Source organism: Homo sapiens, chromosome 1, assembly GCF_000001405.40.
Source record: "Homo sapiens chromosome 1, GRCh38.p14 Primary Assembly".
Taxonomy (NCBI): Eukaryota; Metazoa; Chordata; class Mammalia; order Primates; family Hominidae; genus Homo; species Homo sapiens.
The window spans coordinates 92,831,840-92,856,367 of record NC_000001.11 but is presented as its reverse complement, the minus strand read 5'-3'; the positions used below and the strand labels follow the sequence as shown (position 1 = coordinate 92,856,367).

Below are 24,528 nucleotides of genomic sequence, written 5' to 3'. Positions count from 1 at the left end.
TTTGGAAGGAAACATTTTTGGTTATTGATTCAATTTTTATATGTATTAATCTAATTCAGCTTTTTTGTTTGTTCCTGTATGACTTTCTATTATGTATATTTTTCTAGAAAAATTGTTTATTTCAAATGTATTACCATAAATTGTTTCTATTTTTTTGCCACCACTACTCTTTTCTTTCCTAATAATGTTTGTTTCTCCTCTTTTTCTCATAATCAGTCTTGCTAAAAGTGTATCTTTTTTGGTAAAGTTTTCAAAGAGCTACCTTTTTATTTTTATTTATTTATTTATTTTGAGACAGGGTCTCACTCTGTCACTCAGGCTGGAGTGCAGTGGCACAATCACATTTCACTGCAGCCTTGACCTCCAGGGCTCAAGCCATCCTCCCACCTCAGCCTTCCGAGTAGCTAGGACACAGGTGTGCATCCACACCTGGCTAATTTTTGTATTTTTTGTAGATACAAAGTTTTGCCATGTTGTCCAGTCTGGTCTGGAACTCCTGGACTCAAGTGATTCACCCTCCTCAGCCTCCCAAAGTGCTGGGGATTATCGACGTGAGCCACCACACCTGGCCTGATTTTTTTTCCATTTATTTCTTCATTTATTATTTCTTTTCTCCTACTTATTTTGAGAGTTTATTTTCATTATTGTTGGGTTTTCTTTTTTTTTTCTTAGAGACAGAGTCTCACTTTGTTGCCCAGGCTGGAGTACAATGGCATGATCGTGGCAGCCTCAACCTCATGGGTTCAAGGGATCCTCCTTCCTCACCCTCCTGAGTAGCTGGGACTACAGGCACACACCACCATGCCTGGCTAATTTAAAAAAAAAAAAATTTTTAGATATGAGGTCTCACTATGTTGCCTAGGCTGGTCTTAAACTTCTGGCCTCAAGCAGTCCTCCTGCCCTGATCTCCCAAAGTGCTGGGATTACAGTTGTGAGCCACTGAGCCGGTCTGTTGGGTTTTTTTTGTTTGTTTGTTTGGTTGGTTGGTTGGTTTTTTTAAGTCTCTTTAGTTGAGCGATTATTTATATTCAGTATCTTGGTTTTTTCGTCATTGCGTTTAAATTTGGAAATTGCTATAATTTTCACTGTAAGAACTGCTTTGGCTGCCTCCCACAAGTTTTGATATATACACTTGCATTGTTGTTCACTTCTAAATATTTCTGCATTTCCATGGTAATTTCTACTTTAACCCACAAATTATTTAGGAATATGCTTTTTAGTTTCCAAACATATGTTTGTTTTTTTGTTTTACTTTTTACTTTTTAAAAAAATTGTACAGTTTTTTGGTCTTTTTTTTTCTCTTTTCTTTTGCAATGGGCCATGTTTGAGCTATGGGACTTCAACTTGACTTTTTTTCTTCCACTTATTTTTTATTTATATGTGGTCAGAGAATGTGGTCTATATGATATGACTTCCTTGGAAACCCTAAACCATACCTACAGGAGCTTTCACTCAAGCTCCTCCTAATGAGGCCTCAGACTTCCCATCACCTTTGCATCAAGGAAGAAACATGCCAATGAAATTGCGGGCCATCTGCTACCAAGCAGATATGCCTAACAGATGGTTCTGCATTTTCTAAAATATCCCCAGAGGTTGACCAGATGGAAGAAAGGCATTGGGCCTCTCCCAAGTGGCCTCCCAAACTTGAGTTTAAGAACTAGATTGCTTTGCTCCTCTCCTGAAGATGAAACTTAATATTCTTAGCTACAGACAGATCTGAAAGAGAAACCAGGTCATAGCCAAGGGCTTGTCCAGGAACTTCTCCACTACTACTAGCTGAAGGGCAACAGTGCCTTGGTGTTGACACTTAACTCTGCACATGGGCAGGGCTCTTGATCTCTATCAGGACTGCCCATATCCTCCAAGCAAACTGTAAGGAGTATTGGTAGGAGGGTACAGGAGGCAGGCCTGAGGAGCCTGTGCCATTCTGAGCAATATACAATAGTCATTAAGAGAGTGGGCTCTGGAGCCAAACTGACTGGGCTAGAATCCTGGCTTTATTATTTTGTAGTTGTGAACAAATTACATAACAGATATTTCTGTTTCTGTTTTCTTATCTTTTAATGGATATTAGGTTCCACCTCCCAGGGTTGTTGTCATGGTAATAAATGTATAGTGCTAGGAACAATGCCTGACACATAAGAAGCACCTACTATCAGGTATTATATTAACAGTTTTTATTGGCAGGCACAGTGGCTCATGCCTGTAGATCTAGCAGTTTGGGAGGCTGAGGTGGGAAGCTTACATGAGCCCAGGAATTTGAAACCAGCCTGGGCAACAAAGTGAAACCCCATCTCTACAAAAAATTAAAAAATTAACCAGGCATAGTGGCACATTCTTGTAGTCCCAGCTACTCGGGAGACTGAGGCAAGAGGATCACTTGAGCCTGGGAGATCGAGGCTGTGGTGAGCCATGATTGTGCCATTGCACTCCAGTCTGGGCAACAGAGTGAGACTCTGTCTCAAAAAAACAAAACAAAAAAAAATCAGTTTTTATTAATTCAGTTACCTGAGCTGTTTTTATTCCAGTCCATTTCAACTGGCTTTCATGTTCCATTTCTCCATTCATCTCTTTGTTGGCTGAAATTCCTTCTCTAATCATTTCTTCAAGAGATGCTCATGGAAATTATATTTTCTGAACCTTATGTGTTCAAAAACATTTGGTGCCTACTGAAAGAAAGTTCAGCTATGTAAAATAATAATAGCTATGACTGAGCACTTTTTAAAGTCACAGGTGGTCTATACTTACACTATTTAATCCTCATAAGGATGCTGTAAATTAAGACCTATTAACATCCCCTTCACAGATGAGACTATTAGGACACAGGCGAGTCTCACTTCCTTCCCCAAAGCCTCCGCTGGCATTGCACCACTGTTGTCTACTATTGAATGTGGCTATGGAGAAATCTGGGGCCAATCTGATTGGTTTCCCCTTAAAGGTGCCTTGATCTTTTTGCCTGGATGCTCAAAGGATAACTTATTTTTGAAGTCCAGTGAACCTCAGTGGGATATGTCACAGGGGTCATTCTTGTCAGTTTTTCTTGGGACATTCATTGTATGTCCTTTCAATCTATAGATTAAAGTGTTTTAATTTATGTGAAGTTTCCCTTGAATTCTACTTTGAATATTTTTTCTTTTCCACTTGTTCCCATTCTCCTTCAGTTCCCATTCTCCTTCATATGGACATGGTGGATATACTTTGTCTTTTTTATCTATACATTTATCTTAAATTCATTTTATTATTTTTAAATTTCCATTTCATTTTGCTTGCATTTCTCAACCTTGTCCTCCAAAGTTTTTTGTTGTTGTTATTGTTTTTGTTTGTTTAAGACAGGGTCTCACTCTGTCACCCAGGCTGGAGTACAGTCGTGTGATCTTGGCTCACTGCAACCTCTGCCTCCCAGGCTAAAGCGATCCTCCTACCTCAGCCTCCCAAGTAGCTAGTACTACATATATGTGCCCCCAAACCCAGCTAATTCTTTTGTATTATTTGTAGAGATGGGGTCTTGCTGTATTGCCCAGGCTGCTCTTGAACTCCTGAGCTCAAGCGATCTGCCTGCCCAGCCTCCCAAAGTGCTGTTATTACAGGGATGAGCCACCACGCCTGGCCTAGTCCTCCTAAATCTTACTGTGTTTTATCCCTGTCTGTCTTTCCCCTCATTTATAATGTGGCTTTTATTTCTAGATGTTTTATTTTCCTTCCTGTCTGAGTTCTGTTAGCTTATTTTAAACTTCCTTCTATTGCCTCATCATTTCTTCTGCTTTGAAGTCTTATTTTAAACTGGTTCAGTAAGTCCTTTAAATTCATAACAATATGTTTGGTCTGTTTCATAGCAACATTCTTCTAGAAATTTTTTTCTTTTTTTTTGAGACGGAGATTCGCTCTTCTTGCCCAGGCTGGAGTGCAATGGTGTGATCTCGGCTCACTGCAACCTCCGCCCCCGCAGGGTTCAAGCGACTCTTCCACCGCAGCCTCCTGAATACTTGAGATTACAGGCATGCGCCACCACGCCCAGCTAATTTTGTATTTTTAGTAGAGGCGGGGTTTCTCCATGTTTGTCAGGCTCGTCTCGAACTCCTGACCTCAGGTGATCCACCTGCCTCGGCCCCCCAAAGTGCTGGGATTATAGGCGTGAGCCACTGCACCCTGCCTAGAAAATTTTTTTTATCTGACATTTGCTTTTCCTATTCCATTCTTCCTAATTCTTGTAGATTTGCTGTATAGATCTTTTGCTTGTTTGGTTTTGATTATTACTCATTACTGAGTGAAATGAGGTCTCCTTCAGCCAGCCATGTGCGGGAAGCAACTGGGCAGTGAACTGAGCTGGTAGTGAAGCTGCTTCTGGCCCTCTCTCCCAACCGTAGTTCATCAACAGACTGCCTCCAGCAAAGAGAACATTTCTGAGCATTTTATCATTCAGGCCTGTCTTATCTTACTATTTCATGGTGCCAAATAGAGTTCTGGGAAGTTCCCACAGCTTGTGCCCCTTAAATCTTTGTTGCAACCAGGATAATGGTTGTGCTCTGCAGATGTACCACCTACTTGGTGCTCTGCCAACTTTGTCTGAGAGTGGGGACCACAGCAGGTGTTTAATCTCAGCATACTTGTAGGCTCTGGTGTAATCTTCACTGAATTTGGCAGGTCATCCTCATTTATTGTGCCTAGGGTTTCATTGGTACCATATTTTTTCAGAGAGTGGATGGGTTTTTTTCCCTTTCTTGTTTTTGGGTGATCTCAAGGATGACAATGTGACAGAGGTAACTTTATTTTGTTATTCTAAACTTTATTTATTTTAAAACCAGAAGTTTTTTTTTTTTTTTTTTTTGAGATAGGGTCTCACTCTCTCACCCAGGCTGGAGTGCAGTGGCATGATCTCGGCTCACCACAACCTCTGCCTCCCAGGCTCAAGTGATTCTTCTGCCTCAGCCTCCCGAGTAGCTGGCATTACAGGCGCCCGCCACCACGCCTGGCTCATTTTTTTATTTTAGTAGAGATGGGGTTTCACCATGTTAGCCAGGCTGGTCTCGAACTCCTGACCTCAAATGATCCACCAGCCTCGGCCTCCCAAAGTGCTGGGATTACAAGCGTGAGCCACGGTGCCTGGCCTAAAACCGGAACCATTTTTAAAGATAGAGTGCCTCTATTCTTGGAAGGAGTAGGTAACATACCACCTTAGACCATGTCATGTGGGAAAAATAGTTTCAAAATTCTACGCACACCCCAGCAGCAACAAGCTTTCTCATAATCATATAGGTATAAGTAACAGAGCTTAGATCAAATCCAGGTCTGTCTAAGTCCAAAGCCTCAGTTCTTTTTGTCATAGAACTTACTCATAAAGGATATAGATATCTCTTTATGCTTCTTCTTGTGAATATTTTTCTATTAACTACTTTTTTATTTCCTGGTTTTTAGTGTGACAAGTACAAGACTGGAGTTATTGATGGGCCTGCATGTAACAGCCTTTGTGTTACAGAAACTCTTTACTTTGGAAAATGTTTATCCACCAAGCCCAACAATCAGGTATGGCCATTATGAATAAACATTCCAGAATTATAGTGTACTCTAATTTTACCAGAAATTAAAGGCATTATTAAAAGAATTCTTGAACCAAAGCTTTGAGACATTATATGTATTTCAATTTTGTATGCTTTGATTCATTCATTAAACAGACATTTATTTTATTTTAATTTTTTGAGACAGGATCTGTTGTCCAGGCTGGAGTACAGTGGTGAGATCTCTGCTCACTGCAACCTCCACTTCCCAGGCTCAAGTGAGCCTCCCACCTCAGCCTCCCATGTAGCTGGGACTACAGGCTCACACAACCACACTTGGCTAATTTTTTGTATTTTTGTAGAAACAGAGTCCCGCCATGTTGCCCAGGCTGGTCTCGAACTCCTGAGCTCAAGCAATCCACCCGCCTTGGCCTTCCAAAGTGCTGGGATTATAGATGTCAGCCACCACACCTGGCCAGTCAAAAGATATTTATTAATCTATCCCCAGTATATTCCAGACACTGTTTTGTTTTGTTTTTTTTTTTCTGTCAGCACTTTGATGTTAGATGCTGTTTCAGTTACCAGGAATACAATGGTGATTAAGGCAACCTGGTGCGGTGGCTCACGCATGTAATCCCAACACTTTGGGAGGCTGAGATGGGAGGACCACTTGCGCCCAGGAGTCTGAGACCAGCCTGGGCAATGTAGTGAGACCCTGTCTCTCCAAAATTTAAAAAAAATGCCAGGTGTGGTGGCACACACCTGTGGTTCTAGCTACTCAGGAGGCTGAAGTGGGAAGATTGCTTGAGCCCAGGAGGTTGAGGCTGCAGTGAGCTATGGTCCCACCACTGCACTCCAGCCTGGGTGACAGAGTGAGTGAGTGTCTCAAAAAATAAAAAATAAAAATAAAAAAATACAAACAGCCGGGCCCGTGGCACGGGCCTGTAATCCCAGCACTTCAGGAGGCCAAGGTGGGTGGATTGCTTTAGTCCAGGAGTTTGAGGCCTACCTGAGCAACATAGCAAAACCCTGTCTCTACAAAAAATACAAAAATTAGCTGGGTGGCCAGGCACAGTGGCATACACCTGTAATCCCAGCACTTTGGGAGGCTGAGGCGGTAGGTCACTTGAGGCCAGGCATTCAAGACCAACCTGAGCAACATTGCGATACCCCCTCTCTACTAAAAACACAAAAAATTAGCCGGGTGTGGTGGCACATGCCTGTAATCCCAGCAACTCCAGAGGCTGAGGCACAAGAATCGCTTGAACCTGGGAGGCGGAGGTTCCAGTGAGCCAAGATCTCACATCACTGCACTCCAGCCTGGACAATAGAGCGAGACTGTCTCAAAAAATATATATGTATTAGCTGGGTGTGGTGGCACACACCTATGGTCCCAGCTACTCGGGAGGCTGAGGTGGGACAATCACTTGAGCCCAGGAGGTCAGGGCTGCAGTGAGCCGTGTTCATGTCACTGCACTCCAGCCTGGGTGACAGAGTGACACCCTGTCTCAAAAAAAAAAAAAAAAACAAAAAAAAACCAGACAAGATTGCTTCCCTTACAGACCTTACATGATTCCAGAGGGACAGGAGGTACAAACAGTTGATAAATAAATAAATAAACAAACAAAATAATTGTAGAATATGGTGTGTTCTGTAGGAGACACAGAGGGCAAATTGATAGAGAATGCAGTGTAAGGGATGGTGAGAAGTGCTTTAGAGGATGTGATCAGAGAAGACCTTTCTGAAATAATATTTGAACTTATACCTTAATAAAAAATTCATAGGCATGGGAAAAGGACAGGATGAACTAAATCACAAAAGAACTGCAAACAGCTGATGAACATAATGAAAAAAAATTCTACCTTACTTTTCATCAGAGAAATAAGAATAAAACAGTAGAATATCTAATTGGGGTAGAAGAAAATACAACGAAACATCTGGAGCAGTGGAAAATTGCATTTTAATGTTCATCTTATGGTTCCTAAATTTTCCTATATAAATATGCATTATTATTATAGAAATTTAAACTAATTTTTCAGTTGACAGTATTAATCATGTTAAAGACAATTTCTAAAACAAAGTCCAACATTTGAGTGTCTCCTGCATGCCAGGCACTGTTTGAGGCACTGAGGGAGACAGATAAAGCCTCTGGCCTCATGTTCTAATGTGAGATGAGACAGATAGTAATGAACTGATAAATAAATAAATATGATAATTTTAGACAGTGCAAAAGGCTATGAGGATAATGAAACAGGGTTAGAGGTGACCTGGGGGTGGAAGAGGATCTCTTCTAGACAGGGGGTCAGGGAAGGCTTTCTAAATGCAATGTCTAATCTGAGACTTGAATGATGTAAAGGAGCCAGCCATGTGAAGATCTGGGAGAGTACATTCCAGGCAGAGCCAGCAGCAAGTGAAGCAGGTCAGGAAGCAGAAACAAGCTTCAACCTGTCACAGAAAGACCAGTGTAGCTGGGACTTTGAGAAACGGAGTACGTGGTACAAGATCAGGTTGGAGACATAGGCGAGGCTAGCTCAAATGGAGCCCAACCGGTCATGGAAAGGACTTTGGACTTTAATTGAAAGGGGAATTTATTAGAGGGTTTGGAGCAAGGCAGTGAAATAATGTTTTCTTTGGATTAATATTAAGAATGAATATGATCTTATTTATTTTTTTATGTAGAAGAGGGGCAACCTATCCTAGTGGTAAAGACCTCAGCTCTTTTCAGCATGTTACTTCACCTGTATCTGCTTCAGTTTCCCCATCAGTGAAATAAGTATAATGATAGTACCTACCACCTAAGATTGGTACAAGGATTAAAATAATAACATAAATCAGTAAAAGCCAGGTGTGGTGCCTCATACCTACAATCCCAGCAACTTGAGAGGCTGAGGCAGGTGGGTCACTTAAGGCTAGCAGTTCAGGACCAGCCTGAGCAATACAGCAAGACCCCATCTCTACAAAAAATGTTTTTAATTAGCCAGGTTTAGTGGTACATGCCTATAGTCCTGGCTACTTGGGAGACTGAGGCAGGAAGATTCCTTGAGCTCAGGACTTTGAGGCTGCAATGAGCTATGATTATGCCACTGAACCCCAGCCTGGGTGACAAAGCAAGACCCTGTCTCTAAAATAAATTAGTAGACCATAGGACATAGTTAACACTATATAATATTAGTTTGATAAATAACTAGATACTTAAATAGTAGTTAATTCTGGGGAAGTGGGATTATGGAAGTAGAATGTCTGGGAACTTTGCTTTTGCCTTACATCCTTCTCATTGGACTTTTTGAAAAATATATTTAGGCATGCATTACTCTTATAATTTAAAAAATTAGTTTAAGGAAAAAATCTTGAGTGTGATTTCAAGTTTGCAGTTCAGAAATAAAGTCACACCTTAACCTCAATGTTTGATGCTTGTTTTGTTTTGTTCAGAGGAGGAGGACCCTAAAAATATAGTAGTATATTTTTTAGAGTTTTCTACTCAGTATAATACATAACTTGCCACTCTTTTTTACATAGATGTATTTAGGGATTTGGGATAATCTACCAGGTGTTGTGAAATGTCAAATGGAACAAGCGCTTCATCTTGATTTTGGAACTGAATTGGAACCAAGAAAAGAAATAGTGCTATTTGATAAGCCAACTAGAGGAACTACTGTACAAAAATTTAAAGAAATGGTCTATAGTCTCTTTAAGGTAAGCATACCCATTCATATGTTGCTAGTGTGAAGTGGGACTCTTTAGAGGAATTGGCAGGACCTCATCCTAAGCCATTAAAGTGTTGATATTCTTTGACCTCTATCAGATTCTCCATCCTGAGGAAATAATTATAAGAGGCCGGGCGTGGTGGCTCACGCCTGTTATCCCAGCACTTTGGGAGGCCAAGGCAGGAGGATCACTTGAGCCCAGGAGTTCAAGTCCAGCCTGGGCAACATAGTAAGACCTCAGCTATATATATATATATATACACGTATATATATATATACGTGTGTGTGTATATATATATATATATATACACACATATATATATACACACATATATATATATATATATATATATATATATATATATATATATATATATATGCCAGGAGTGGTGGCATGTGCCTGTAGTCCTAACTACTTGAGATGCTGAGGTGCGAGGATTGCTTGAGCCTGGGAGGTCGAGGTTGCAGTGAGCCAAGATCTCACCACTGCACTCCAGCCTGGACGACAAAGTGAGACCCTGTTTCAAAAAAAAAAAGAAAAAGAAAAGAAATCTGTGTTGGAGAATGTTTACTTTAACATTATTTATGATAGCTAAAAATGTCCAGATATGAGGAGGGAGTTCATTAATTAATTGGAGTGCTGTACAGTTTGACATGAAAATTAATTCAAAAAAGGTGAAATAAAATGAGTATACTCTTAGAATTGTGGCTATTAGAGGCTGGGAAGGGTACAGAGGAGAGGAGAATAAGGAGAGGTTGGTTAACAGATACAAAATTACCGCTAGATAGGCAGAATAAGTTCTAGTGTTCTATAGCACTATAGGGTAAAGGGATTAATAATTTTTGGTTATTTTCAAAAAACTAAAAGGATTGTGAATGTTCACAACACAATGATAACTGAGACATAAATATGCTAATTACCTTGATTTGATCATTACAAATTGTATGTGTGTATTGAAATATCACTATGTATCCCATGAATTTTTTTTCTGTGTGCTCCCGTTCACAATACAGACAAGGCGCAGGGCCTGGGCTGAGGTGTACATGGGAGTTCACCTCCTCATTCTATACAGTCAGTATAAGAACACAGCCTGGGGTAAGCACCAGGAGGCCTGGGGATTTTTTTTCTTTCTTTCTTTTTTTAAAAGATGGTTGGTTATTTGTTTTGTTTTGTTTTGGCAGGGTCTTGCCCTGGTGCCCAAGCTGGAGTGTGCAGTGGCATGATCTCGGCTCATTGCAGCCTCAGCCTCCTGGGTTTAAGCCATCCTCCTGCCTCAGCCCCCCAAGTAGCTGGGATCACAGGCGCACCACCGCACCTGGCTAATTTTTTTTTTTTTTAGACGGAGTCTCGCTCTGTTGCCCAGGCTGGAGTGCAGTGGCATGGTCTCAGCTCACTGCAACCTTGCCTCCCAGATTCAAGCAGTTCTCCTGCCTCAGCCTCCCGAGTAGCTGGGATTACAGGCACCCGCCACCACACCTAATTTTTGTATTTTTAGTAGAGATGGGATTTCACTATTTTGGCCAGGCTGGTCTCGAACTCCTGACCTCATGGTGATCCACCCGCCTCAGCCTCCCAAAGCGCTGGGATTACAGGCGTGAGCCACCGCATCCAGCATTTTTTTTTTTTTTTCAGCAGAGACGGTTTTTTTTTTTTTTTTTTTTTCTAGCATAGACACGGTTTCACCATGTTGCCCAGGCGGGTCTAGAACTCCTGAGCTCAAGCTATCTGCCCACCTTGGCTTCCCAAAGTGCTGGAATTACTGGCTTGAGCAATTGTGCCCATCAGTATCCCATAAATTTGTAGTTATTACATGTCACTAAAACTAACGGGAAAAAAAGCATAGCAGTTCTTCCTATGCAAAAAAAAAAAAAAAAAAAACGGTACTCTGCAAATTATTTTTTTAATTTAAAGGAATACCAATATAGGCCGGGCGCGGTGGCTCACGCCTGTAATCCCAGCACTTTGGGAAGCCGAGACGGATGGATCACAAGGTCAGGAGATCGAGACCATCCTGGCTAACATGGTGAAACCCCGTCTCTACTAAAAATACAAAAAAAAATTAGCTGGGCGTGGTGGCAGGCGCCTGTAGTCCCAGCTGCTCGGGAGGGTGAGGCAGGAGAATGGCGTGAACCTGGGAGGTGGAGCTTGCAGTGAGCTGAGATCGCGCCACTGCACTCCAGCCTGGGCGAAAGAGCGAGACTCCGTCTCAAAAAAAAAAAAAAAAAAAAAAGAAATACTAATATATAGATTAAATAGAAATAAAACAAAGTTTTAGAAAAAAGTTTTATTTTCATTGCTCTTTTATTTTCACTCAAATTTTTTATTTGGCCATTTTACATGTATTTCAGACTAACGGAAATACTTTTTAATCTTCATTATTGTAATACTACTATTTGAACAAAATAATTATTGTGATAAATACAAAATAGGATAAAATAATTAGGCCAGGCATGCTGGCTCATGCCTGTAATCCGAGCACTTTGGGAGGCTGAGGTAGGAGGATCACCTGAGCCCAGGAGTTTGAGACCAGCCTGGGCAACATAGTGAGATCCCCATCTCTAAAAAAAGGAAAATAATTTTTAGTTGACCCTTATTGTAACTTTGATGTAAGTACATTACAGTACAATTTTTCAAGTCCACATATGAGGCGGTGGTTTTTTAATGTATGAATGAGGAATAATTACATTGTTGGTTAACTATCTAAGGGGCCTGAAGGGGACAGGGGAGTTAGTGGCCATTTCCTAACAAACAGACAAGTATTTTAAAGTGGGTTTTACTGCAGTTACATAAAGCATGGTTCTAGTTCACTTAGGAAGTATCATAAATATTTGGAGATATAATACATTAAGTTCCTGTTTGGGGATTCAGTACCAAGATTATTTCTGGCATGGTTAATAATGCCCGTAAAGAAACTTAGTATGTTGCATGGGAGGTATTTTTCATTCCTTCTGTGTAACTAGCCAAATTCTTGACAGGCAAAATTGGGTGACCAAGGAAACCTCTCTGAACTGGTTAATCTCATCTTGACGGTGGCTGATGGAGACAAAGATGGCCAGGTTTCCTTGGGAGAAGCAAAGTCGGCATGGGCACTTCTTCAACTGAATGAATTTCTTCTCATGGTGATACTTCAAGATAAAGAACATACCCCCAAATTAATGGGATTCTGTGGTGACCTCTATGTGATGGAAAGTGTTGAATATACCTCTCTTTATGGAATAAGCCTTCCTTGGGTCATTGAACTTTTTATTCCATCTGGGTTCAGAAGAAGCATGGATCAGCTGTTCACACCATCATGGCCAAGAAAGGCCAAAATAGCCATAGGACTTCTAGAATTTGTGGAAGATGTTTTCCATGGCCCCTACGGAAATTTCCTCATGTGCGATACTAGTGCCAAAAACCTAGGATATAATGATAAGTATGATTTGAAAATGGTGGATATGAGAAAAATTGTGCCAGAGACAAACCTGAAAGAACTTATTAAGGATCGTCACTGTGAGTCTGATTTGGACTGTGTCTATGGCACAGATTGTAGAACTAGCTGTGATCAGAGTACAATGAAGTGTACTTCAGAAGTGATACAACCAAACTTGGCAAAAGCTTGTCAGTTACTCAAAGACTACCTACTGCGTGGTGCTCCAAGTGAAATTCGTGAAGAATTAGAAAAGCAGCTTTATTCTTGTATTGCTCTCAAAGTCACAGCAAATCAAATGGAAATGGAACATTCTTTGATACTAAATAACCTAAAAACATTATTGTGGAAGAAAATTTCCTACACTAATGACTCTTAGTTCATTTGGACATAATTACCATTTTAAGAAACCTGCCACTTTTAAAGAACAATTTTGAGCATTAAAAAAAAATGGCTTCAAATTCCGGCCAGTTACACAAAACTCCTTCCCCCCAGGCCTGAGAAGCCATCAGTATGTGATCACTGAAGTAATGGCAGGTGTAGGATCAACAGGTCCCCAAGATGTCATTCCTGCCCTTTTAGAAGCCCTGTTACATCTCCGAAGTACATTCATTGTGTAACTATTTTGACTGACTTTAAAAACCAATGCTGTGAAAAGCTTCATTCCATAAACATCAACAGTGAGTGATTTGTAGATTTACCTTAGCCAAAATACCAATGCTGGAAGCATTGTGTTTGCATTGAAGCTGCTGTTCAACAAGAAAATTTATAAATTTACTAATGTCTTAGCATGGTAAAGTTTGCACATTAACAGAAATTAAGACTGCAAAGCAGGTTAAACTTGCTTCTTTATAAAACAGATGTTGGGTTAATAGCATGGTTTACTGTATTAAAGACTTATACACCCATTTTTAACCTCATTCAGACATCAAGTTATGTGTAGCTTCACAATGGTTCAAGTGGCTTACTTCAAGAAATCTTATACTTGACAGTACACCAATTTTATTGACTAAAAATGGATGAACTTTCCTAAAGATTCAAAGGGCCCATCTTAGTATCACGCAGCTGACTGAGCCCTTCAAAACTGACATCTTAAGGCCCAATCAAGATCCACATATCCTGATTTTGAACTATGTGAAAGTGGGACTGTAAGTGCAAGACTAAAATAAATTATAGCAGACTTTTTAGTAATAACTTTCCATTTTCAAACAGTATATCCTGTGGGCCAAAGGGCTATTTCTTAAAGAGGCATGTAAATGTATTTATTTATCTAATGTTTTTTTCCCCATGTAAACTTGATATACAAGGTTTAGTATTTGCTCCTCTTTCATATTATTTTCACACGTATACTCAGATTTGGCATGTACCTTTCAACATCTCCATAAAATTAAACACCTTTTGGAGAAAAGAACCACTATTTTCTGCTCAAAGGTTTCGCCTACCTAAAGTGGAACATGTTAAAAATCTATGTGACCATCACTGGACAGCTTTCTCTCAAAACTTTCCTTCAACGCCATGGATTAGCACCAGTTTTGTTTACTTTAAGGTACTTTTCCCATTCATCATCTGGTTATAATAAATGGATGGAAGAAATATTTCCCACTGATGGTTGGTCTGTTGCTTGCCAAATTTTTAGGGAGAGCTGTTCATCATACAACATAAGGGATAATGACTCCTGTCAGGTAAAACAGAAGCCCAAGAAATAACAACTTTTTTTCTTAAAAAGTTAGTTACACTTGTTTTCTTGGAGAAAAAAACCTGTCAACTCCTTTGCTTTTCCAAAATATTTCAGGGTATTTCCTATAAGGTTCATAAGAATAAGAGCTTAACACAGAAATAGTTGCTGTTCATAAGTTTATTATCTATATCTGAAAAAATCATAGAAAATTGCTGGGTTTAGCTCTCAGCAGCCCGCTCCTGAGCTCTGAGGAAGCTTGCCTTCTTTTGAGCTACCCGATCCTTCTTCTGAGCAAGGGACATTTTGGGACGGTTCCACCTACAAAAGATAGGAATATATATTTTTTAAACTATAACTGAAGAGAATAGAATATTTAATTTAAAATTTTAATAAAATTTAATTTTGATAGAGAATATTTAAGACTTTGCAATCAGAAGGTTAAATAATCCAAGTTCAAATACATTTACTTATGTATGATCTTAAGCTAACTTTCCCAAACCCCAACTTCTGTGATGTCCTACTACCATAGGGCCAAAAGTCAAATAGAAGACATGTTAGATTCAGTAATACCACTTCTAGGTATTTGCCCAAATGTTTTGAAATCAGTTTGTCCAAGAGAGTGGCACTCCCATGTTCATTGCAGCACTATATATTAATAGCAACAGATAAATGGATAAAGGAAATGTGGTATACATATACATAATGGATTATTACCCAGTCTTTAAAAATGATGGAAATTCTGTCATTTGCAACATGAATGAAGTGGAGAATATTGTGCTCAGTGAAATAAGCCAGGCACAAAAAGACAAATACTTCATATTCATATAGAATCTAAAACAATGGAACTCACAGAAGCAGAGAGCAGAATGGTGGTTACAGAGGCTGGTGGGTGCAAAGAATGGGCAGATGATAGTCAAGTATAAAATCTCCAACAGGAGGAGTATGATTTTGTTTTTAGTTCTATTGCACAGCATGATGAATATAGAATATCGTACATTTCACAATTAAGAGAATAAATTTCAAATGTTGTTGCCACAAAGTGTTAAGTATTTGAGGTGAATATGTTAAATACATTGATTTAATTACTATACATTGTATTTGTGGGCCATCACATCACTTTATGCTTACATGTTCATTAAGTATTACTTTCTATTCCATTTAAAGATCAAAACATGAAAGATCAACAAAAAGCAACTTGTCAGCCAATAAAAAAATGCAGTAACCAGTACTTAGACTGTACTAGGATAGAAAGAACCACCTCAGTAGTGTCTGAGGCTAACACATTTCCATCACCACAGTTACTTTTGCAAACCTGGTTCCCTTCGCTTCTGCCACATCACGCAGAGCTAGTGATCGAGTTTGCACAATTACACCAACAGTCTGCCCCACGTGGGAACCATTCCCAACCTGTTTTCTTGAAAAGACAAAAAAAAAGACGACATACCTCTTCTTTTTAACTTCTTTCTTGGGCTTCTTTTCATAGACTGGATTCTCTCGTATAGCAGCATGAGCTTTCTTATACATCTCCTCCATCTGAAACAAAGGAAAGCAAACAGTACTTGGTTTCATTTCATGTGCCCTACTATATTAATGCAACCATAACTTATCTTGTCCTTCTAAGCCAGATTCTCAAAAGGAACTAAACTAAATCAATGTTGGTAAACACTTTAACTTCTAAATGTAACTCACCTTTTCCTAACAAATTCCCAATTTTCACCTTATGCAATGTGAATTATCACTACAGAACTCCATCTTACTCAAGAAAAAAATCAGGCCAGGTGTGGTGGTTCATGCCTGTAATCTCAAGCACTTTGGGAGTCTGAAGTGGGAGGATCACTTCAGCCCAGGAGTTTGAGACCAGCTAAGGCAACACAGTGAGACCTGTCTCCATAAAAAAACTAATTAGCCAGGTGGCAATTATTAATGGTGGCATGCACCTGTAGTCCCAGCTACAGGACTACACGTGAGTCCAGGAGGTCAAGGCTGCAGTGGCACAATCACAGCTCACTGGACCCCAGCCTAGATGACAGAATGAGACCTCATCTCTACCAAAAATTAAAAAAAAAAAAAAAAAATTAGCAGGGCATGGTGGTGCACACCTATAACCCCAGCTACCTCGAGAGGCTGAGGTGGGAGAATTGCTTGAGCCCAGAAGTCTGAAGTTGCAATGAGCTATAATTGTGCCATTGCACCCCAGCCCAGGAAACAGAACAAGATCCTGCCTCAAAAAAAAAAAGTAAGAAAACAAAAAGAAAAATCTGCATGTACTTCTGAGAAATTCAGCCACACTTCTTGAGTCACTCTAAATCAAATTTTTGTCTGCAGAAACAAATATTGCGCTTCTCATTTTAAATACTGTCTGACCTAGATTCTTTCATTCAAGAACAAGTGCCAAAAGTATTAAGATATTAAGATGATGAACGTATGGGACCAAGAGTCACAACACTGACATAGCTTAACTGAGACCAAGGACTGGACACAGGCCAACAAGCAAATTCATCTGTCATCCCACAATCCCTAGACTTTTGTTTTCCATCTTTATCTCACAGGCCTTTAAAAGTAATTCCCAGCATTATGTACCAAGGACCTCTCTTCTGTCTTTCACTACCACCAATCTATCCCTAGTATCTAGTGGTAATATAAGGCCTCTAGACCAGAAAGATGTCAGAAGTTTTCCTGAAAAGCCAACCGATCAGATATTTTATTGGGCAATTTTTTGTTTTTTGACATGAAGTCTCGCTCTGTTGCCCAGGCTGGAGTGCAGTAGCGCGATCCCAGCTCAGTGCAACCTCCACCTCCAGGGTTCAAGCAATTCTTCTGCCTCAGCCTCCCGAGTCGCTGGGATTACAGGAGTGAGCCACCATGCCCAGCTAATTTTTGTATTTTTAGCAGAGACAGGGTTTCACCATATTGGCCAGGCTGGTCTCGAACTCCTGACATCAGGTGATCTGCCCACCACGGCCTCCCAAGTCCGGGGATTACAGGCGTGAGCCACCATGCCCCGCCAGGGCAATTTTGTTCTAAAACTCACTGAAAAAAAAAAAAAAAAAAAGCTGCAACTCTCTGAATATCTAATAATTATAGCCCACTACAGACTATGTCACAGTAATCCAGGTCTCTAAAATTATTCAATCAATGTGGAGATGTGATTACTACATGCATTTGCATAAAGATTATTAAAGGAAAATAATGCAAAAATGCTCACTGCATTTGAAACCTCAACTACCTATACCCATTTTGAAAGTTAATTTCCCTACCTCTTTTAGCACTCTATTATAGCTAGCTGTTCACTAACAAATAACAAATCCATTTGATGACTTCATATATAGTCATTCAACAAATCTAAGCAACCCAGTTCCTTCCAAGACGTCAGACAAGCAGACATGTAGATAATGCCTGAATTGAGGTAAAGACCACCTCCTGTTGGAGACACATCAGATGTCTGCACAGGATTTCAGCAGGCACACAGGAGGATAGAGGCCACTGTAGATAAAATTAATGAGCCAGCTAGAAAAATACATTAGCCAAAAAGTAGTCTAGCTGAAGGAAGGCACATATACAGGAAAGCATTAGGAAGTAAACATCTGAAAGCACAAACTGGGAGTCTGAAAAGTTCTGAGCAAGTATGACATGACTACATAAAGATATAGGTTAGGAAGTAAATTTTGCAAGACTAGTAGAATCATAATCCAAAAGTAAATGACCTCTTTACCAGGATGAAGTCATAAGTAACAAAGAAATATAACGCAGTAAAAATTAACATGCACCTACATTATTGATAAAAAACTACTCCTTTTCCTAACTCAGAAACTCAAGCTATTTGTTTATTCAGCCTTTACACTGTGTCCAAAGCATAGAAATAACAGAAAGTGGTCATTTCCCAACTACTGTTTTTAAAAATTTTCCTAACCAATAGCTATGCCAAAATAGAAGCTACTACACACTAACGAAAAAGAACCTGGGTCAGGAATGGCTCTCATCTGTAAGCCCAGCACTTTGGGACTCATTCTTGCAAACATGGCTCCCCTCATTTCTACAACATCACGCAGACCCAGTGATCAAATCTCTTTTCCTGTGTACATGTCTGAGATAATGGGAAAGTCCAGAATATAGCACACATATGCTATGAAGAGCTTTCCTCCCAGATGGTATCAAAATAAGTGAAGTTTATTATCTAGCACCTCTTATCCAACAAAGCAGATTACAACTATGATTACAGAAATGACATCTACAAATACAGAACAGCCAAAGCATAAAAGGTAGCCAAATCTTCAGATGCTTGAAGTCTCCCACACTTGAGCATCTAAAAGATTACTAAAAGAATGTTGACAAGTCTAGCTCATGTTGTCAAGAAACACACCTATATAAGAATGTTACCTGCCCCCAAAACAAGTAATAAACCTATTTCCATAAATTAACCAATATAGGCATTTTTAGGTAAATGTTTTACCATGTCTGGAGTTACGCTGTTCTTTATGTATTGAGAGAACTGTTTCTTGTAAGCATCTTCATCTTCTTCCATTAAGTAGCGCATGTAATCTGCAACATTCTGGCCCATGATGTGCTTCCGATGTACTTCTGCATTAAATTCCTTGCTTTCAGAATCATAACCAGGGAATCGTTTGGTACTAAAATAAAGTTATTCATATTTTAGTATAGACTCACTTAACTTAGTTTACTAGTAAGAATTTACTTTAGTAGCTGCCATCAGTCCCGTCTTGAAACAATTATCGCATCATATGCAACCAAAGGACCAACTACTGACTGCTCAGTTAGTGGGATATCATCATTCAGCAGCTCATCTCTGAATTCCAGGACAGAAAAGAAATTCATGCTACAAAAACCTTTAAAAGCCATTACCAAGGCTTTCCACCACTACAAAATTAGTCATCCAGCACATCAGCACAGGAAGGAGTTTCAAAACTTATACTCTAAATCCTTTAATTTTCAGTGGGTACATGGGAATAAGTGATTTGTCCAAGATCACAGTTAATGAAATTGTCAAGTGAGAATGCTCTTGGTGTACTTGCAACTAACTCCCCCCACCCACCTCCACATCATAAAAGCAAAATTTCAGTTGGGTTGTATTTTAGGCTTACCAAAAATTACTATTTCTTGGTTAAATCACCAAATGCTAAAATATTCCTAAGAAGTTAATAAATCAAGATGCACAGACTCAACAACAAAAAATATCATTAAACCAATGGAACTACAAATTAACCTACTTAACTTCCCAAAATGGCCTACAATCTTATTCCTAGTTGCAGGTTTAGAAATCTTTCATAAGCCTTTTCCTCAAACTTCTTATAAAATTCTAGGATCCACCTTTTTGCATAATTCAGTAAATCATTTTTATTCTGATTGAAAAAAGAAAGTGCATGGGGAAAGAGGATGGAGTTGCTCATTTCTAATAAGAATTAAGTCATATGCAAAAGGTAGTGGTTTCAATCCCATCTCTTTCAATAACTGGCCCGAAAAACTTGGGACAAATAACTCTGGGCCTCAGACTCTTAATTTATAAAATGGGCTATAATTCCTTCCTGCCCTACTAGGTTCCTCCTGCATGGTACCTAGGCATACAGCAGGCATTCAATTGATAGCTACTTTAATTCGGTTATCTCCACAGTCCAACTAGTTAAAAACAGGGAAGTACCACGGTCCAGGCACCAAGGTCTTAAATAGTATTCTTACCTGTGAGGGATAGACAAGCCTCCATCCACAGCTCCCTTCAGGGCACCAAAAACTTTATTGCCAGTGGTAGTTCTGGCAAGGCCTGCATCCAAATAGCAGGTGAAGGCACCTGGCTGACCATCAATGCTTTCCACATTGTATTCATCACCAGTCACCTCCACTTGGCCTTCATAGATCTTGTCCATGCCAAACCTATTGAGAAGCTATTCAAGAAACCAATGTAAATGCTGGTTTCAATTATTCAAACTGCTCTAAAATTAAAATAGCTTATGTCATAACCGTAAGGACCACTGACATCTGGAAAAGAAAATTTCCTTCCACACCCACCCTTTCACCAGATCCACTTGCTCATGAATTTTTAAATGCTATTTAAAAAAAAAACTTAAAACATTCAATTTCACTTGAAACAATTTTGTTTTATGACTTTTGCATCTTTGCTACATGTCCACACTTGACTTATGCAGCAATCAATGAGAATGCATAAACTTGATTCTTATACTTACAATGTTCCCTCCATTAAAACATGTTTATAACCAATGAGTGGGTTGTCATCAACCTTGCTGCACATGCTTAACAATTCCATTGCAAAACAAGGTAAAAAACTCAGATAATAAAAACAAGGCAAAATCCCATCTTCATCTACCAGGAAAAATGTTTAAAACAAAAATGAATCTTCCCGTCAATGGCCACTCTCCAAAACACTAAGATTCTCATTTTTTTTTTTTTTTTTTTGAGACACAGTTTCGCTCTTGTTGCCCAGGCTGGAGTGCAATGGCGTGATCTCAGCTCACTGCAACCTCTGCCTTCTGGGTTCAAGTGATTCTCCTGCCTCAGCCTCCCAAGTAGTTGGGACTACAGACACACACCATCATGCCTGGCTTTTTTTTTTTTTCTACTTTTTTAGTAGAGACAGGGCTTCACCATGCTGGCCAGGCTAGTCTCAAACTCCTGACCTCAAGTGATCCACCCTCCTCGGCCTCCCAAAGTGCTGGGATTATAAGTGTGAGCCACCGCGCCTAGCCAAGATTCTCCAGTTTTAATGTGCATATAAATCACTTGGTACATACTATCAAAATACAGATTCCAGAAGGTCTAGAGTGGAGTTCCCACGAGTCTGCATTTTTAATGTTTGCCAACATTCAGAATGTATACCTAAGTAGCAAGGGTCTTCATTGTCCAATTAAGTAGACACTAGCTACAAGTGGATTTTCAAATTCAAGTTTACATACTGCTGGAACTCAACAGCTGCAGGTCGCTAGTGGCAAAACCACTGGACAGCAAATTACAGATTTGTGTCATTGCAGAAAATTTTATTGGAAAGAGCTGACCTAGATAGATCCATTAACAAAGCAGAAAACTGGAAGCAAGCACTCTCCTGAAGCACAACTTAAGCTATCTTATCCATGTACAAACATCTTGCAGAAAACTCTCCAAGCAATCAGCCACAAACTACATCAATTAAAATCATCTTGTACATACCCTGCGGGCCAGCAGCAGGCCAGTACAATATGCTGCAGCATAATTTGTCAGGCCAACCTTCACACCATATTTTGGCAGTTCGTGTGCATACGCTGCGCAGACTATCATATCCCCCTCTATACGGGCATAAGCAATCTATAGTAAGAGAGAAACTAGGTTAGTAATCTGTTGCTTTCACTGTCTTACTACATCTTAATTATTTTTCAAGGGAATAAAAAAACATTGATGGACACAGATGAACATCACTTAAAATGCTTAAGACTCTTAGCTGGGTTACCAGTAAATTAGAGGTGCTTAAAAAGTCAAAGAGGAATACCCAAATATTTCAATCATCTTTTGAACTAAACATAACTAAAGTCAGCAAAGTCTCAGGAACCTAACGTTTAGTTATCTGAACTTGGGTACGGAGGAAGACAATGCCTTCACAATCAACAAACTATTTGCCCAGGAAACAGGTGTGCCTACCTGCTGCAAAATATCAATAAATCTTAACTCTCAGAATTTCTCCTAGTTGTAAAAGCCCAGGATTCTAGCTTTCAGAGTCCAGTGAGAATGCTCTTAGTACAAGAGCAAAACTGACACTTCCTAAAGGTCTTTCATGCGGGAGCCACCTTTGTACATTTTATTAAAACCTATTTCAAAGAATAAGCAGAACAATCTTAAAGCCCTGTTTAATTCACAACTACCTTTTCAGTGGTTAAGTGGCATATAAGGCCATATAGGAAAAATCAGGACAAACCCTATTCTTCTACTGGAATTGGGATGGGCAAGAACTTCTTACTTACTTCTAATCTCCCCACCCCACACACATAAACTAGGTTTCAGTGTCTTGCTCTGTCACCTAGGTTGGAGGGCTGGGTGTGATCTCACTTCACTGCAGCCTCAACCTCGGGGCTCAAACAATCCTCCCACTGAGTAGCTGGGACTACAGGTGCGCCCCGCCATGCCCAGCTAATTTTCTTACATTTTTTGTGAAGACAAACTCTCACTATATTGCCCAGGCTGGTCTCAAACTCCTGGGCTCAAGCAATCTTCCCGAAGTGCTGGGATTACAGGCATGAGCGCAACCAAGAGCATTTTTTAAAGTACCAAGTTCCCAGGTTCCAATTCTAGACCTACTAAAAGGAAAAATTATTCACTGGATGCTTTTGGAGGTGCTAGACAGCCCTTCTAACACACACACCATGTGCTTTGCTTCCCAAGCACAATTTCTCTAGCAATAAAAAAAGGGGACTGTCTAGAATACAACTTACCTGACAAATGATATCTCTGTTTGTCACACGAACTATCATCCTGTATTTGGGTGTGTTGTATTTATTTTTATCTTGTATCACCAAGCGTTTCCGAGCATAATAATCAGTTTTACCCTCTGAAAGAAAAAAATAATTGTAGAAAGGATACTCCACTGCATCTGCAAAGCAGATTAATATTGTAAACACAAAAAGGTGACAGTACCTCGTCGTCTTCTAAATTTCACTTGGTATCTCTTAAAGTAGGCCTTATTCTTAACAACTTTAACAAACCCCTTAAAGAAAAAAGAATGTTATTAAAACTTTGATGTCTTAGCCTATGATACTTTTGACATAAATTAACCATGTAACAAAGTAACACTTGAACTTCAAGAGTAAACAGACAACTGTCACTTGTAGAATCCCAGGTTTCACAAGCAACTAGGGTCAAGAATCTTTTTCCTCTACCTTCCATGTCACAGACTAGTAGTTTCATAAAACAATAAAAATGAATCCTTAGAGAAATATGGAATAAAAGAAACATACAAAATGCAGGCCCCAATTTATTACATTTAACAGGTATAAAATTATTGTTATATTGCTTTCAAAAGGTTTTAAACGCTTTCAATTTCCATATTTGTTTCTTCAAGGACCAGCACCGGTAATTGTGCCAAACTTTTGCGAAGCACTGCTCCAGACAGCAATCAGTGATGCCAAACGTCGGTTTGTTCGGAACACGCTATGTCCCACTTCGAAAACCTAGCCTCAAATAACAACTACGTACCTCTCTCGCTTCCCATGTTATGTTTTTCAAAAGCCTAAATTACCTGCCACAAAGCTTAACTGGGCAAGAGCACATTCAGCAGTAATTCCCCCACTAAAACAGCACTGTTCCCCATCAGCTAAAGCAACATTTCATCCCACCCTTGGGGCCCTACCCCAATAATTAAAAACTCATCCGGCGACGGACTCTAGAGGAAGAGGCAGGAGGCACGTATTCCATGTTAAAGGAGCTTCCGGGGCCCAGGGACCCCTCGGCCTCCAAGCTCCACTGACAATTTTGGCTTAAAAGCCACTTGCTCAGCCCACGGGCACAAGCTTCCTAAATCTAAGACTTGCCGGCTCCGACATTCTCCTGGAAAACCCACGAAGTACTCGGTACTCGGAGGTCGAGTGGGACCCGAGGACCTGCAGCCCCCCTCCATTCTGGCGTTCCCCAGCTAGGCTGAGGTCGACTGCTTGCGACCTCTCACGCCCGGCCGCTTGCCAGCGCCCCCTCACACTAGACGGCAGTATCCGCACTCAGGCTGTCTACTAAACTCACCCTTCTCCCCAATCCGCCGTCCAAGCTCACGCAACCCTTCTTCGCCAACCCCTCCCCCCAAGTTCGCGCACCGGGCGGCAGCCATTTAAGGCCACGCTGGGAACTGCACCTCGACCAAGTCAGAGCTAGCAATCTAACGCCATCCGGCCCCTGCGACGCGCGAGACGGGCCCTAGGCTGGCATACGGGCAAGAAAAGGGAACCTCCATGCATCTAAAGCCCCGAGACCGAGGCATCCACTCACCATCCTGCGGAACAGAGACCGGCGTCCGCTGCTCGACAGAGACCTGCAGGCCCAGCGGCGCTAGGGGGTGGGAAAAGGGCCACAGCCCTTGCGCAGGCGCAGTATGTAGCGCGGACGGTCACGCCAGTGACGTGTGAAAGAGAGAGGGCGTCGGCCACAAGGCGTTTTACGTTCCGCCCCCTGCTGGAAGGAGGGTGAATGCCTGCCCAAGCTCTCCAGGTTCCAATGCTCGGGGTATCTCACAGGATCCGTGCGGTGAGGAGGAGCAGGGAGGATTA

At 40.5% G+C, this 24,528-nt stretch overlaps 2 protein-coding genes, 2 non-coding genes and 1 pseudogene across 9 annotated transcripts in view, besides 3 other annotated features; 1 reads left to right on the top strand and 4 right to left on the bottom strand.

Moving 5' to 3' along the window:
• DIPK1A (divergent protein kinase domain 1A) overlaps positions 1–23,639 on the top strand; it is a 128,734-nt gene extending 105,095 nt beyond the window's left edge. For 3 of the 5 annotated variants that reach the window (NM_001252269.2, NM_001006605.5, NM_001252271.2), the window contains 3 exons: positions 5,413–5,520; positions 9,009–9,185; positions 12,173–14,201. In NM_001252269.2, coding sequence (NP_001239198.1) covers positions 5,413–5,520; positions 9,009–9,185; positions 12,173–12,985 — 1,098 coding nt within the window. In that variant the 3' untranslated portion in view covers positions 12,986–14,201. Of the gene's footprint in view, positions 1–5,412; positions 5,521–9,008; positions 9,186–12,172; positions 14,202–23,333 lie in introns of those variants that run through there. The other 2 variants (NM_001252273.2, NM_001252270.2) reach the window with 2 other exon arrangements.
• Positions 10,186–10,309, bottom strand: LOC124900443 (uncharacterized; annotated as a pseudogene).
• Positions 14,444–24,382, bottom strand: RPL5 (ribosomal protein L5). 2 transcript variants are annotated; one of them, NR_146333.1, is made up of 8 exons: positions 24,251–24,382; positions 22,910–22,979; positions 22,708–22,823; positions 21,488–21,589; positions 19,976–20,141; positions 18,735–18,912; positions 15,729–15,817; positions 14,444–14,602 (listed from the first exon to the last, which is right to left on the bottom strand). NR_146333.1 is itself a non-coding variant. In NM_000969.5 (8 exons), exons 1-8 carry the CDS (start codon positions 24,251–24,253, stop codon positions 14,503–14,505), a joined length of 894 nt encoding a protein of 297 aa, NP_000960.2. In that variant the 5' UTR covers positions 24,254–24,328; the 3' UTR covers positions 14,444–14,502. The 2 variants fall into 2 exon arrangements, 1 of the variants encoding a protein (NP_000960.2); NM_000969.5 differs by having other exon boundaries at positions 19,976–20,178; positions 21,455–21,589; positions 24,251–24,328.
• SNORA66 (small nucleolar RNA, H/ACA box 66) lies at positions 15,517–15,649 on the bottom strand. Its single transcript, NR_002444.2, has one exon. It is a non-coding gene; the product is annotated as a small nucleolar RNA, H/ACA box 66 (small nucleolar RNA).
• Positions 18,985–19,079, bottom strand: SNORD21 (small nucleolar RNA, C/D box 21). The gene has a single exon (NR_000006.8). It is a non-coding gene; the product is annotated as a small nucleolar RNA, C/D box 21 (small nucleolar RNA).
• Positions 23,250–23,887: an enhancer, noted in NCBI's record as "NANOG-H3K27ac-H3K4me1 hESC enhancer chr1:93298038-93298675 (GRCh37/hg19 assembly coordinates)". NCBI's record gives its function as "activates a minimal SCP1, AML or CMV promoter by ChIP-STARR-seq in primed H9 embryonic stem cells {active_cell/tissue: H9 hESC(primed)}" and the evidence as "EXISTENCE:reporter gene assay evidence [ECO:0000049][PMID:30033119]".
• Positions 23,888–24,526: an enhancer, noted in NCBI's record as "NANOG-H3K27ac-H3K4me1 hESC enhancer chr1:93297399-93298037 (GRCh37/hg19 assembly coordinates)". NCBI's record gives its function as "activates a minimal SCP1, AML or CMV promoter by ChIP-STARR-seq in naive H9 embryonic stem cells {active_cell/tissue: H9 hESC(naive)}" and the evidence as "EXISTENCE:reporter gene assay evidence [ECO:0000049][PMID:30033119]".
• Positions 24,040–24,359: an enhancer, noted in NCBI's record as "active region_1320". NCBI's record gives its function as "activates an Ori minimal core promoter by ATAC-STARR-seq in GM12878 lymphoblastoid cells {active_cell/tissue: GM12878}" and the evidence as "EXISTENCE:reporter gene assay evidence [ECO:0000049][PMID:35858748]".

Bases quoted from the DNA above. Each gene is read 5' to 3' on its own strand.
- RPL5 (NM_000969.5), bottom strand. The intron at 20,179-21,454 runs GTATGTACAAGA...TTTCTTGAATAG, and splicing joins GCCTGCTGCTGGCCCGCAGG to CTTCTCAATAGGTTTGGCAT. The intron at 18,913-19,975 runs GTAAGAATACTA...ACTTTATTTTAG, and splicing joins GGCTTGTCTATCCCTCACAG to TACCAAACGATTCCCTGGTT.